Source organism: Homo sapiens, chromosome 20, assembly GCF_000001405.40.
Source record: "Homo sapiens chromosome 20, GRCh38.p14 Primary Assembly".
NCBI lineage: Eukaryota > Metazoa > Chordata > Mammalia > Primates > Hominidae > Homo > Homo sapiens.
The window spans coordinates 6,440,465-6,456,739 of NC_000020.11; the positions used below are offsets into that span (position 1 = coordinate 6,440,465).

The following is a 16,275-nucleotide window of genomic DNA, read 5'->3' on the forward strand; positions in this document are numbered from 1 at the left end:
GTCATAGATATGCAAGTACTCTAATATATATCTCAAATTTTAAGAATGGTATAAGAAAAATTAGCATGAACATACTAAAAAACCTTATACAAAATCAACGTCTGTATTAGTTTGTTAGTGCTGCTGTAACAAAGTACCACGAATTGAGTGGATTGAGCAACTATTTATTGTCTCACAGTTGTGGAGGCTAGAAGTCCAAGATCAAGGTGCTGGCAAGGTCGGTGCCGTCCCAGCGCTGCAAAGGAGAGCTTATTCCATACCTCTTTCCTGGCTTCTGGTTGTTTGCTGGCAATCTTTGGCATTCCTTTGCTTGTGGATGCCAAGGGCCTCTGCCATCATCTTCATATGGCATTCTCTTTGGGTGCATGTCTTTCTTTGTGTCTAAATGTCCCCTTGTCATAGGGACATCAGTCATATTAGATTAGGGCCCACCCTAATGACCTCATCTTAACTTGATTATCTGCAAAAGTACCTTTCCAAATAAGGTCACATTCATAGTTACTGGCAGTTTGGATTTCAGTATCTTCTTGAGGGACGCAATTCAACCCAGAACATCTAGAAAGCACTGCCAGTCTGACTTCATAATTGGGATAAAGGAAAGTAGCACTATTTTAGTTGTCCTGTTCTCAAGAGAAAAAGAAGAGATGACTTACTATTCACATAATATATTGGTGCCAAGACAAGGCCAGACAGTGTCATGTCAAGATACCCCATAGGAAACTTATTTCATGGAGATGGCAATAAAAAACGGTGGTGGTGTGTGGTAGAACAGACATAATGAGTCCAAAGGAATCTACATCATAAAAGACATATTTATAAAATCTCTTAAAGTAGCAATTCGTATGTATTTCTACCTAGAATATGACTTATGACTGAGTTTTGAATCCAGATAACTGGCAGCTAATTTGGCATAATTATATAAGAGGGAGGAGCTTATGTTGTTCTTTTTCTTTTTCTTTTTTTTTTTTTGAGACAGAGTCTTGCTCTGTCACCCAGGCTGGAGTGCAGTGGCGCGATCTCGGCTCACTGCAACCTCCACCTCCCGGGTTCAAGCGATTCTCCTGCCTCAGTCTTCCGAGTAGCTGGGACTACAGGTGCCTGCCACCACTCCCGGCTAATTTTTTTTATGCTTTTTTTAGTAGAGACGGGGTTTCATTGTGTTAGCCAGGATGGTCTCGATCTCCTGACCTCGTGATCCGCCTGCCTCGGCCTCCCAAAGTGCTGGGATTACAGGCGTTAGCTACCGTGTCTGGCCTACGTTTTTCTTAAAGCAAAAGTTAGATGCAGAGAAAATAGTTGAATTTCACACTTTAATAATTGTAGTAACAATGATAGCTGTCATTCATTAAAGGCCTTCTTTATGTCAGGCATTATATAAACTGCTAACCCTCCTCAGCACCCATCCAAGTTATTATAATCCCTATTTGATGGAAAATTTGATAGGACTGGTATTTGAATGATTTCTATCTAAACTCAAGATTTGTATTCTTTCCATTACATTTTCACATTTTTCTGACTTTACCTAAAATTCATGCAAATAAGATGAACATCTCTCAGTGAGCATATCCTAGACCTTGGCTTTGAATATCCAGAGTTCTTTTTCTCTTTAAACTGTGTGTCATGTCTCCTAATCAGATGAAATCAAAGGACCGTGAAGTGTATAAGGTGATGCTTGGGCCCATGAATCTAGTTGGAAATGTAAACCAGCTAGGTTTACAAATGTCTGGCCAGCTAGGTCTGCAGGTCTTAATAGGCTCTGTTCCCTGAGGGGTAGCCTCATTGAGAAACTCAAGGGAGCAGTGGCTTACCCCAAGGAGATTAAGTCACATTATAATTAATAAATTTAACAAAACAACAGTATTAATATTGGCACCTCCCACCATAGGAGAGACATCAAGTGCAGTCTCTTGTTTCTGCCCCTGAAGTTAGTTATTGGGAAATTGTTTCTAGATCTTTAATGGAAAGTTGTGTTTTCTTTCAAAGTTCTCCATTGTGACACTATGGTTCCTTGGACACAGGGGTGAACTTATATAATTAGGGAGGGCCTTGAGATTTATTTAGCTAGAGTTGCCTCCAGGAATACTGAAGATGAGTCTAACAGAAAAGCCAGTCATTTTTAAAGAAGCTATTTTCTTTGAGGATTCGGCACTTACTATTTATTGAACTATCCAGCTCCCTCATACTTAATTCCAATCTTGTGCCATATAATATTCCAAACTTTCAGGCAGGCTAGATATAAATCAGAAGTGAAATTGTAGTTAAATGGTACAGCCAGCTTGTTTCCATTTGGAGATAGTCCCTGACTGAAAAATGGGCTTCACAGTGTCATTTCAAAGATTTTGTTTCATTTTTTGCTTTGACAAGTAAGTGCAGAGATCAGAAATTGCATATGCCATCCAGTATTTCAGCTGTACCACTCTCAACCTGGCGAGTACACCAAAGCTGTTTTATATTGCTGTTGGGGGTGTCTAGGAACAAGCATCTCAAAGGACATAATTTATTATAACTAAACAATTGTCTTTTCCTAGCAATGATTCCAGAATAGGAAATCTAAGAAGAAGTTTTGATCATGTCAAAAATTGGCTCAAATAAAAGTATCATACAGGATATCAATAAAATGGAATGTTGAGTTTGCTTTCCTTTCCTTTTTTTTCCTCTCTCTTCCTCCCTTCCTTCCTTCTGGTTTGCTTATTTATTTTAGAATTGAACACAAGTGCTTATTTTATAATAATTTGGTAGTATATTAACTATTTTTTGATGTAATATTTTGTTGATTTTGAACTTTCAAAGCCAGGAAAGCAAATATTTCTTGGTTTTGCCTTCTAAAAGTTCCTTCTGCTGGCAGGAGCGAGGTATTGTGTAGATGAGCTCAAACATACATTTGACATACATGGTGGGAAACACATTTCAACTGTTTATAACCTCATGATGTGAAACTTGACTACCTAAACAATGAAAGGAAATTTGACTGGAGTTCTAACATACTAGCATGGCTTGGTGATCCCTACATATTGAAGAGTTTAAGTCAAGACTATGCGAGTTTTCATTATGGGCATTATTCATCCTAGAGTCCAAGTATTTTCCTTCCAGTTTCATTGATATTTCTTTCTGCTATAATATGTTTCCCAAATTTTCATGTAAATAACTTTTTATGACCTCAATTGTGTTTTTTTCTAAATAGTCTGTATTATTGTTTTAAATATTGTACAATATATACCTGTTTTGGCAAATTCAAATGAGTCATAAGTACATACATTAAAAATACTATTTTTGGTCCCGTTCTATCATCACTCTTGCACAAACCCAGATAACCTGTTCTAATACTTCGGTTTATGCCCCTTGGAGTATTTTAAAAATGCTCCCCCCTTTTAAAATAAATACCTACACACAGTGTTTTTTTTTTTTTTAATGAAAACATCATATTTTCCTATTGTATTTTTCCATCAATTTGCCTTTTATACTTTCCATCTTTTGGATTTTATTCCAAATCAACATGTATAGATTTTTCTCTCTCTTAACCAATAGTTGAATTATCCAAATTAAAATATATATTTTTAATTTTTAATTTATTTTGTATATTTCTTGTTTTTAGCACAACGCTGTGTGTCTGTGTGTGTGTGTGTGTACCTGTGAGCATGCACTTCTATGTAGTTTATCCTGTCATCTCTTAAGATAAGGGGGGAGGTTGAAATGTATTTTTGGTCTTCTATACTGAAACCAAAAAATTGAATCTCTTTTTAAAAGACATTTCTAGATGCAGAGCCTATAGGAATGGTAACATGAATTACTCTGGCTTTGCGTAAGTATCTTAAAAAAATAAATATATACACTTTGATAGTAGGTTGACTGGACTATACAGTCCATGTTTACAAACTAACTTAAATCTTAATTCCAAGTGTTCTGGAATATAAGAACCATGGGAAGAGCATTGGTTTTAAGTTGTTTCAAGAGGCAATTTTTCTTTCAGTTTAAGGAAACTGATTTACTAATCTATGTCAAGAAATTATGAACTATTCAATAAGCCTTATTGCTGTAATTTTGCCTACGGTAATACAGTAGTAAATTAGACATTAATGGCAAAAGTAGACTAAATGCCCCACTAGAAGACACTGTTAGGAATATCAAAACTTTACAAATGTTGAAGGACATAAATCATGGTGAAAGTGTAACATAAACAGTTACACGGAGGTTTATAGTAATATCCTGGCACTAGAAACTTGGAATAATAATATTAGTACAAATATATACTAGGATGCCTTTGACAGTATAGAATAATTTTATTTTGCTGTATTCATGTGAATACAGTAAGTCTTCACTTAATATCATCAATAGATTCCTGAAACTGCAAATTTAAGCAAAATGCTCTATAATGAAACCAATTTTTTCCTCATCAATGTTATATGACAAAACAACATTGAATTAAACGATGTCATTTGAAGGCCTGCTGTACGTTGTTTTGCCTAATGTAACAGTTTTCAGGAACCTGTTGATGACATTAAGTGAGGATTTACTGCATATAGTTATAGGAACATTTCTCTCATTAAAATAATCCACAATTGAATTGATATTTACTAGTGCTTTAATATCAGATTGGAATAGCTTCAAGTCAGTGAATTCTATTTCCACCATTTGAAATCTTCTTTTGGGAAGTGAATAGCAAGTCTATGTCTCTAGAATAGGGGTTCCCAAGTCCCTGGGCTGTGGACTGGTACCAGTCCGTGGCCTGTTAAGAACTGGGCTGCACAGCAGGATGTGAGCTGCAGGCGAGCAAGCATTACTGCCTGAGCTCCACCTCCTTTCAGATCAGGGACATTAGATTCTTATAGGAGCCTGAACCCTATTGTGAAATGCACACGCGAGGGATCTAGGTTGCACACCCCATATGAGACTCTAACTAATGCCTGATGATCTGAGGTGGAAGAGTTTCATCCTGAAACCATCACCCTCCACCCCCATCTGTGAAAAAATTGTCTTCTACAAAACCAGTCCCTGGTGCCGAAAAGTTGGGGACTGCTGCTCTAGAATGTAACTGATGTACAACTTTGGTTGCATTAGAATCACCCAGGGAAGTTTAAGAACCCAGTACTCAGGTCACATTCCAGGTCAGCTATATCAGCGTCTCTGGGAATGAGACCCAGTCATCAGTAGTTTTAAAAATTATCTCATTTCCTTTAGCTATGGCTCACGTTGGAATCAATATCAATCACATTGATTCCAATGTGAACCAAAAGTAAAGAACCACTGCTTTCTAGTTTCTTGCTACTAGCATATCAGATATTTTTTCAAAATATTATTTGAGAGATAGTTTACTAGGGTAAAAAACATCTTGGAGAGAGGTTTAGGTGCAGGAGCAGACCCTACAGTTGCTACCTGTGAGATGGTTAACTTAATCTTTAGGTGCTTTAGTTTTTGTCATCTGTAAAATAATTTGGTAAACATTTTCTTAGTACCTGCTATAGGCCAAGAATTTCATGATCTAGGTCATAAGGGCATTCCCAACCCCCTACAAAATAGATGCTGTTATTATGCCTATAACATGCAGCTTCCGCATAGCCAGGATCTTTAAAATGCAAACCTGTAGGCTGCACACCAGACCTACTTCAGAAACTCTGGGAGTAGGGCCCAAAGATCCGTTTTTAAACGGTACTTTGGATGCTTCTGTTGTATGCTCGTGTTTAAAAACCCACTCCACTACACTGTACCATGATAGTCTCTGCCCTGTAGGGATGTTGTGAGGATTAAAAAGATAATCCATAGAAAGTATTTAGTGCTGTGTCTAACACACAATAAGTGATCAATAGCTGTTAGCTAATAATATATTATTTTAGGTTACCTGAATTAGAACTAAATCTCCTCTTGCAAAGACACAACCAAGTCATCTCTTCTTCAGCTTCACATGTTTTAAGAAATAATAATAATAATAATAAAAATATGAATGCCATAGACTTAGCTCACAATCTCCTTCTTTTCTTTTTCAAACATCAATCATAATTCACTGTGACTTGCTACCCTGGCTATATCTGCAGTGTTGGAATTAGAACCTTGAACTTTGGTGTTTTTTTATTATTTTGATGACAGTTTGGCAAAAATATTAACCATTTTATAATTCATGCCAGACTATATATTACTGTCTCCCTCTTCCTCCCCAAAAATCGCATGTCACACATTACCTTGTGTAAATAGGCATTTGAGATTCTTCACTTAACTTTGACAGTATGTTTGCAGTAACATTCTCTTCAATTGCCTCTGTACCTGTAGGGCAAAGTTCAGCATCATCCTCTCTGCTGAAATAACCAACATGGTGCTCATTAATTGGTCATGTGAGCACTAAGGATAACCACCCTCCCCTCCTCAATCAGGTAACCCTAATTATTTTCTCTTGGTAAAAGCACACTTTGCTATGTCACTTTCATTGCGACAAACACAGACTTGTGCTGAGGGAAATGCCTTTTATGTGGGAACCATTAAAACTGTTAGATGCAGAAATTCCAGCAATTTAGCTTTTAATAGTAAAGCTAGCCAAAATGTGTTTGCGTGGTTTTTGTTCATCAAGAAAAAGAGAAGTTACACAAAGTCAGTGACCACGGCTATAGGCTCACATTCTGAGCCATCATTTTCCTAATAAGCTGAGTTAAAAAAAAATCCCACAACAGATTTTGTTTTAGGTGTGTTCAGACTATTCTCAAAGAGCTACTAGAAATCTCAGGGATTAGAGAAGAAAGAGAAGTGGACCAAAAAGATCAAACCAGCTCCTGGGTGGTCACTGAATTATTGGGTTACTTTCTTCTGATAATAGATTTTCTACTGTCTTTATGATACATAGTTTCTCCATCTTTGAAGTTAAAGATTAATTTTAATTGGTATTGCACATATCTATGATAAACTAGTAAAGTATGTTCAAGAATGCTCAGTATTCTCCAGAGGGAGAGAAAATGTTTGTAGTTGTTTTCCATTGTTATTTGTCCAAGAGGCATGGGCTGTGATGTCTATGTGGATGATGTCTTTGCAATGTAATTAAATGTCATTGCAATGACTATAATGTCTACATGGCTGAGTTAGGCAGAGTGGATGAACATGGAGCATTTAGACCCCTCCACAGAGATGAGAAAGATGCAGAAAAGTGAGCTTGGCAGAAAAGAAGGTATCCAGACAGTCAAAGCATTGCATTCTGGCCAGGTTCTGCAGGACCTGAGATGGAGATTCTTATATAAGTGATTTAATGAGGAAAAAACTCTCAGGAGAAATCTGTAAAAAAGTAAAGAAAGCAGGACAGGTAGCCAAGCAAAGATGTGGGTTCAGCTAATGTCTAGTTTGAGCCAATGGAAAACTCTAGAACATAAATGGCATCTCACAGTTTTCCTGCTTTGGGGCAAAAGGGCTAAGCATTTGTTACCTTATATGAGTCAATTATTGGCTGCAGGATACCCCCAAGGGTGGGGATCATAGCCTCCCAGGCATCCTCTAGAGATTTTTCTCCTGGCCAAGGGCAATTCTCTAAAACGGGACCATCTGCTACTCATAGCATACACCACTCACAGAACTGGGATAAAGGGGATCTGGGTGGGCCACCAACAGTGTCTAGTACCCATGGTGTCTGGGGTATGCTGTTGGTACAGAGCATTGACTTCTAAAGGGAAAATGGAGTCCAACAGGTCTATAACATAGGAGGTATCCCTGAAGAAGGCAAGACCACAGAAGTAAAAATATCAACTTGGAGCAATGCTCAGGAGCCTTGGTAAGAGACCAGTGAGGTCAAATACAAAATGGCTGTGTGAGTTGTTGGAACAGGAGCTCAGAATAGGAGATAAATCTTTTTCAGTAGACTGTGGAAAGCAAGACATGACAACTTATTATCAGAATATTGCTCTGGATGTCCAGCTATGGGGAGAGAATTAAAGGATATATCACGAGGATAATTCCGAATTATCCTGCAGGGTGGATGACCTGATTCTGAGCTCCACTGAGTGGAGATACTGAATTTACTTGCTACCTCCTATCTTTAATGTCATCTGAGAACTGATGCTTGTTGAGTGGATGTCAGTGGTCCAACTAGTGATGAATAGAGTAGAACATGAGAATAAGGGAATTAAGCAGGAGTCCATGGGTTATATGTACAATAAAAAGGCAACATATTCTAATTCATTATGTATATATTAGATAAATGTTTTCTTTGGTTTATTTTCTAGGATCACTTTCTATTTTTATTGATGCCCAGAAAGGCTTTCTTTTGTGCCTAGCCCAAGATCTGTAAGTTTGCCAATTCATTGGTATGATTCCAAGCATAAGAATGTTTAGTAATGTTACTGGTGACCCAACCAATGGTCTTTACTTTTCTTTCTTCCTAGTATGTTTGTTATTGTAAAATCTTATAGTCTTTATAACCCCTTATTCTCCCTAGGGATTTTTAAAAATTCAGGGTATCACTAATATTACAACCGTTATATCTCGATAAAATTTCCTCTAACTTCAGGTATTTGTGGAAAATGTCACACACACAAGAGATTAAGAACATCTTTAACAACAAAGGGAAAATAATAGTCAACTGTATATATAAGCATTTAGATTATACTCTTTTGTAATAAATTATCTTAGTCTGTTTTCTGCTGCTATAACAGAATACCACATGCTGGGTAATTTATACAGAAAAGAAGTTTATTTGACTCATGGTTCTGGAGGCTGGGAATTCTAAGATTGAGGGGTGCCATTGGGTGAGGGCCTTCTTGCAATGTCGTAACATGGCATAGGCCATGACGGGTTGAGAGATGGTGAGAGAGATGACAAGGGAAAGAGGTAAAGGGGGCAAACTCCTGTGATAATTAACTGACTCCTCTGATCATGGCATTAATTAACTCGTGAGGGCAGAGCCTTCATAACCTGATCACCTCTTAAAGGTCTCACCTCTCAATACTGTTACGTGGTAATTAAGTTTCAGTGTGAATTTTGGAGAGGACATTCAAACCATAGCAGGACTCTCTTACATTAATATTCAGTCTTACTCTGGAATTGTCATCCAGGAAAGATTTGACAATGTCAAATGCTAGTGGTCAGTTGCACCAGTCTCTCAGCCGATGTGTAGGTTCAGATCCCAACTCCACCATTTATTAGTTGTACGACCGCTGTGTTTCAGCTTCTCTCCTGTGTAAAGTGGTAACGATAGTACTTTCCTTGTAGTGTTAACATGTAGCTTATAGGGACTCAAAACCTTAATAAAGATGGACTACCTCAAGTCGTAAGTTTGGTAATAATGTTCCTTTACTACAAATATTAGGCAGAATTTGAGTCACTGGTTAGTTCTGAGTGGGGGATTAGGTATAATTTTCTTTTTTTTTTCAGGTAATATTTAAATTTTTTTTTTAAGTTCTGGGATACATGTGCAGAATGTGCAGGTTTGTTACATAGGTATACGTGTGCCATGGTGGTTTGCTGCATCTATCAACCCATCATCTAGGTTTTAAGCCCCACATGCATTAGGCATTTGTCCTAATGCTCTCCCTCCCCTTGCCCCACACCCTCCAACAGGATCCAGCGTGTGATGTTCCCCTCCCTGTGTCCACATGTTCTCATTGTTCAACTCCCACTTATGAGTGAGAACATGTGGTGTTTGGTTTCTCTTCCTATGTTAGTTTGCTGAGAATGATGACTTCCAGCTTCATCCATATCCCTGCAAACGACATGAACTCATTCTTTTTTTATGGCTACATAGTATTCCATGGTGTATATGTGCCATATTTTTCTTTATCCAGTCTATCATTGATAGGCATTTGAGTTCCAAGTCTTGGCTATTGTGAATAGTGCTGCAATAAACATATGTGTGCATGTGTCTTTATAGTAGAATGATTTATAATCCTTTGGGTATATCCCCCAGTAATGGGATGGCTGGGTCAAATGGTGTTTCTGGTTCTAGATCCTTGAGTAATTGCCACACTGTCTTCCACAATGGTTGAACTAATTTACACTCCCACCAAGAGTGTAAAAGTGTTCTTATTTCTCCATATCCTCACCAGCATCTGTTGTTTCCTGGGACTAGGTATAATTTTCTTATCAGCAATTGTGAAGAAACTTCTGAAAGACGTGAGCCTGTCATGTTAAGACACACAGACTATGCCATGTTGTTTGGGAGAAAATTGTTGAAAGTTAGTGGTAACAATGTTTCCATGCTCATCATTCTCAGGGTTAAGGGAGGAGTTATTAAAAATCTACTCAATTCTGAAATAAGGCTCATTCTAGGTGTAATGCATACGATTTGATGAATGTGGAAGCCCAAAAACTTGGCTTCCGTGACAACTTAAATCAGAAGAAATGAACTTCATTTCGTACACGGTTTTCTTCCATCATTACTCATAAAAAAGAATTTCAAGGTTGGATGATTTCTTCTATCTGTTCACCTTCTATCCATAATATTCCCGTCAGGTGGTTAGATGCCTGTATCTTGACTACCTGCAGCAATGAAGAACTTCAGATACTTTAGACAGTCTGGGGATGATTTAATAGCTAAAGAAGTTTTTATTTTGAACCTAGATCTGTCTTATCATGTCTTCCATAATTATTATAGTTATTTCCTTTGTAGCCAGTTGAAACAAGTCTAATCTCTCTGACTCCTATGACAACCCTGTAAGTATTTGAAGATAGCTTTGTTCCAAGACCTCTCTGCATTTGACTGAAATCACTAGGTTCCTCATGTTCTTCATTACTCTTACGGTGACTGTACGACGGATATGCTTCTGTTTCTTTACATCTTGAGACAGGGTCTTACTCTGTTGCCCAGGCTGGAGTGCAGGGGTGCAGTCATGGCTCACTGCAACATGTGTCTTCCAGGCTCAAGTGATCCTTTCACCTCAGCCTCCTGAATAGCTGGGACTACAGGCACATACCACCATGCCTAGCTAATTGTTTTATTTTTTACAGAGGTCGGGTAATCCCTATTTTGACCAGGCTGATCTTGAACTCCTGAGCTCAAGTGATCCTCCTGCTTTGGCCTCCTAAAGTGCTTGGATTACAGGAATGAGCCACTGTGCCTGGCATGTTTGTTTTAAAAGAACTAAACTTCATACTCAATGTATGAGCAACACGGAATGGGACAGGGCTCAAGCGGATGTGACAACCATCTCTGTTTTGGACATATTACTTTCAGTACAGTCCAAGATTCAAAGACTTTGGCAACCACAGAATTGACTGACTCTTTATGAGTTTACAGAAGTCTATGATCTTTCAGTCTTTGTCACCTATGCTACTGTTAACATGTGTGTCTTAAACTTGTTTTTTGGGACCAGTTTCAGGACTAACATTGTTAATATGAAATTTTATCTTCTTAGATTTGACCAAATATTCTACCTTACTGATGACTTTTTTTCCTTCTAACCAATCTATTTTTCTACTAATATTAGTTGGACAGTAATAATTGTGTCATGGATCAGTATGAGTTATCAGTATTAGTTATCATAAGCTAGTACATGGATCAGACTAGTTATCACTAGTCTTGGCTACAGAAGAGCCAAGACTAACATTATGTTGCCCATCACTTGGTAAGTCATCTACTAATTTGGAAACCATGCTGCTTTATAGGCATTATACATAGTGTCTTTGTGATATATTTCACTTCAGTGTTTCCATTTGAAACCAATATAAAAGTCACACTTTTTCAAAATAAGTATAAGAAAAAAATTAGACAATATTCCAAGGATATGCTTGATATGTTGTGTGGAGAGTTCAGACAACATGTGACCTGTGAGCCTAGAAGTGGGTGGTCTTTTAACTCATCACAGAAGTGGTGGAATGTGAGCCAGATAGGTATCGAAGGTTAACTAGAGTTGGGTTAGAGGGAAGAGGTGCATGCGTTTGGGAGTTAAAACATTCAGGTTGATGAGGCAGAAATAGCAGAGTAACATCAGATGATGGTATGCAGATGACTTTCCAGGGACAAAGGTTGTGTAGAGAACTGTGTGGATGGTGAGTTCAGAAAGGTGGATCAGTGTGCTTGTAGGATGCTAATATTAGAGTCAGAGTTCTTAAAAGGAGCAGCTCTTCTCTGGTCAAGCCGTTCTCTAGTGCTTATAAGTGAAGAAGCTGAAGTCTCCCGACTACTAGCTGTTTCCAGACTTACTTTCATTGGTTTCAATTACGCTAAGTATCCATCACAAAGATGAATTTTGTAAGCAGTCATGACTGCTAGGGTACTGAAAGGAAAATATCTGATTTTCTTTTATATTAAGATGCTCTTAGGATTTCTTTAGGGAGGCATGCTCATCTCATTGAATATGGTTTATTCTAGGTTCATTCTAACAGGGCCCACCTAGTTATTGGCCATTCTCGGGGAATACTTCTTTGAAGTTCATGTGCTTTAATACGCTTTAAACCTACATTCAAGCATATGGTTTATTTTGAGACATGAACTTGACATTCACTTTCTTGTCCTGCCTTTTGTGGCCTGTGTAGCAAAAACATCTGCTCTGACAATGGAAGAAATCATAAAGTAGTAACTCCTCATTAAAGTACCAGGGCAACAATGTAATCCTTTTGGGAGTATGGCTGACTTGCCATGATCTGTGAGTTTCTCTGGCTATTGTTTCCTCACTCCTTCATAGTAGATTCTCAGCCAAAAGCAATTTCTTTTGGACTTGTATTTTACTAATGATATATTTAATAAGGGAAAGGGAGAAAAACATAGGGCATCAATAATCACAAATATATACATCTGGTAGAGGACTGAAAGGAAAACAGATCACAGCTGGCTTTGACAGTTAATATTATGAAAATGTTCAGGGTGGAATGTCTATTTTAAATAAGAAACACTTGAAAGAAATGGTCAAGATTAACAGGAGCTTAAATTGAAACCACGTTGGTTTGTAGGTAATAGAATGCTAGAGACAAACACTGCCTTTAATATAAAAGCATTCCTCCCCCAGCCCCACAGCTCCCCAGACTATCCATGTGGCCCTGTTTGTGCCACTGGAATTTGATTGGGTTTGGCTTTTCCAGGAAACCAGGAGGTAAGAAGAACCTATTTAAACTCCTGTTAAATGGCTTATTCCCCCTGCCCAAGCCTTTGGGTAACTCAGTTTATTAAAATGTTCTGGAGTTCATGTCTGTTAACTCAGTGCTATGCCACCCATATGCCTGCCTTTTGGTCTGTGCTGCAGTCTAACATCTGATTTGCTCGAGTCCAGGAGTAAGAGTCAGTATGCAATGGGAGACCTTGTTAAGAACCCAGAATGGTGGGTATCAGTTCATTGTTTGGCCCACAGATTGTTAGCTGAAGCTCAGATGCTTGCTCCCATCTGGCAGTTGGTATTTGTTGTATCAACACAGCTATAACTTACCCACTGAAACAAAGTTGCTGGATCTAATTCTCCTAAGGTACCCAAGAACCTCAAGGCCACTTACAAATAGACATCCTGTGCATCATTTTAAGGGAGCTTTGACTTACAGCTCTTCTATTCATTGACTTACAGCTCTTCTATTCTCTGTTTCACATGTGTTTTTGTTAGTCAACTCAGCAAAAAAGAAAAAAAAATCCTAGGAAACTTCCAGCAAGTAAGACTTGAGTATTTATAGGAAGAATCCATTCGGCATTACCACCATCAAAAATTCCAGGGAGCTGTTAGGGGAAGACAGATGAGCAAGAAGCAAAAGTCTGCTAAAGGGCTCTTAAGAGGAGAACAATGAAAACGCCTTGGTCAATGTTAATCCTGCCAGAAAAAGATGTAGTCTCCACAAAGCTGTTACTCTTGAGAACAGAAATTCTTATTTGCTTTTCTTTTGCATATTGCCCAGTGTCCAGGACATAGCGTCTTATTTTCCTTCCTACGGTTCTATCCACTTGTAATACTTCCCAGCAAGTACCTAGTCTATTGTCAATATCTGTTTCATCAGTGAAGTAAATGAAATTGAGTTCAGGTCTTTATTATCTGTCATCCTCAGTCTATTTCAATAGCCTCCTGACAGGATTTTCCTTTCAGTAGCATACACGAGTCTGTCAGAATAGTCTTCAAATGTTTCCCTTTTGTTTCACTCATTCTCAAACTGTTGGCATTGCCAAATTGCCCACAGGATAATTTCAAAACTCCGTAGTCTTACAGCATTTAAGACCATCCAAATACCAGTCCAGGCAATCCTCTCACCTTATCTCCTACGAAGTTCCCCAATCAAATAGTCGTTTCTGGCCGAAGTGACTCTTGGTCTTTCTGAATGTGAATTAGCCAGCAGCAGTATATTGACCAATGTCATTCCACTGCCTGTTTGTTCTGTCCTACTTCTGCCAGCACTCTCTGCCCAAGGATCTCCTCCTAGTTTGTTGTTTTTTTTGTTGTTGTTTGGTTTTTTGATACAGGTCCTCACTCTGTCACCCAGGCTGGAGTGCAGTGGTGCAATCTTGGCTCACTGCAACCTCCATCTCCTGAGCTCAAGTGGTCCTCCTGCCTCAGCCTCCCAAGTATCTGGGACAACAGGTGTGTGCCACAACGCCTGGCCTCCTCCTGACCCTTTAGAACCTATCTGGAGCTTGACGTTCTTCATGAGGCCTTTTCTGGAATGTCCAGTTAGAACCAATGTAGAAATAAGTATAAGAAGAAAATTTTGTTTTTTTGGCAGCGGGGCAAGCGTGGGGACAGCCTGCTAGCAGTAGCCCCAGGCGAGAAAACTCCAGTGTCAAGCCAATCCTATTTTCTTACCTTTTAGTACCTTGCTGGACTCAAGTTATTGGGTTGGAGAGTCACCATTTGTCACCTCTGATGTTTCTCTGGATCCACTTGAATGCCCTAAGATTATTAGCTGAGCCTGCTCTGTGTTTGTTTTCCTGCTCGTCTGTGTGCCCTGGATGTTTTCCTCTTTGCACATCCTTTGGTCAAGCCAATCATGACGTGATTCTGCCAAACCTTCCCCACTTTCAGGAAACACAGTAGAAGAGTGTAAAGTATTTTCCTTCCCTGCTTACTGAACATTCATACCTGTGGCAGGAACTAGCTCTAAGATGCCAGGATGAAAACCAAGCCCTGAGTAGTAGGTAATACACACCACTCTTACCGACTCTAGCTGTGAATGCTCCCATTGATTAAACTTTACTGGGGATCCTTGTTCAGTTGACTGTTTACACCAGTGCTTCTCAAAGAGTGGTCCCCAGAAGAGGAGCATTGGATTCACCTGGAACTTGTTACTAATGCAAATTCCCACTGCAGATTTACAGAATCAGAAATTCTGAAGGGGGGGCTCAGCAATCATCCTTTAATAAGCCCCATAGGTGATTCTGATGTCAATTAAATTTGGAAAATAATGGGTTACATGAAGGCCAGCAGTCTCCATATTAATTCCTAATTAACTTCTTGTTAAGTAGAGTAGGCAGCACTTTATATACATGAACACAGCTTCCTACCTGAGCAGTGGGAGAACATTTGGTGTAACATTCCATGGACATTTGGCAACCTCACAATGAAGGTAACAGACAACCTAAATGTTTAAAATCAGCAATGAGAAAGAGCCTTGTTTCAAATATACCACCATATTCTAGTAAGAGTGTAGCAAGATTGCTAGATATAAAAGAAAAATCAATTAAAAAAGAAATTAGACAATACATTTAAAACATGAAGTAACTAGGACCAGATCTAGCAAAAGATGTGAAAGATCTGGGTGGATAAAGTTACAAAAATTAATTCAGAGACATTAAACACTAAATAAAGGGATATACTACATTCACAAATTGGATGACAGAATAGGTAAATGCATAAATTCTTCCGAGTTAAAAATTAATTGCAGTTCAATATAGAAAACCCTAAAGATCCCACCAAAAGAACTGTCAGGACTAATAAACAAATTCAGTAGAGTGCACACTGCAAAATCAATATAGAAAAATCAGTATCATTTCTATATGCTAATAGTGAGCTATCTGAAAGATAAATCAAGAAAATAATTCCACTTACAATAGCTACAAAAATTAAGATACCTAGGAATAAATTGAACTAAGGAGGTGAAAGATCTCTGTACTGAGAACTATAAAATATTGATGAAAGAAACTGAAGAGAATAAAAATAAATGGAAAGACATCCAATTTTCATGGATTGGAAGAATTAGTATTGCTAAATTCCCACACTACCCAAAGTGATCTACAGATTTAATGTAATCCCTATCAAAATAAGAATGACATTCTTCACAGAAATAGAGTACACAATCCTAAAATTCATATGGAACCACAAAAGACCCCCAATAGCTAAAGAAATCCCAAACAGAAAGAATAAAGCTGGAGGCATCTCACTACCTGACTTCAAAATCTACTATAAAGTGATAATA

General features: G+C 38.3%; 1 long non-coding RNA gene across 1 annotated transcript in view; it reads left to right on the forward strand.

Annotated features, from left to right (window-relative positions):
* The window catches only part of CASC20 (cancer susceptibility 20), a 101,728-nt gene that overhangs the window by 13,733 nt on the left and 71,720 nt on the right, over positions 1-16,275 (forward strand). The window contains exon 2 of the long non-coding RNA NR_109953.1: positions 6,259-6,359. This is a non-coding gene — a long non-coding RNA (cancer susceptibility 20). The remainder of the gene's footprint in view (positions 1-6,258; positions 6,360-16,275) is intronic.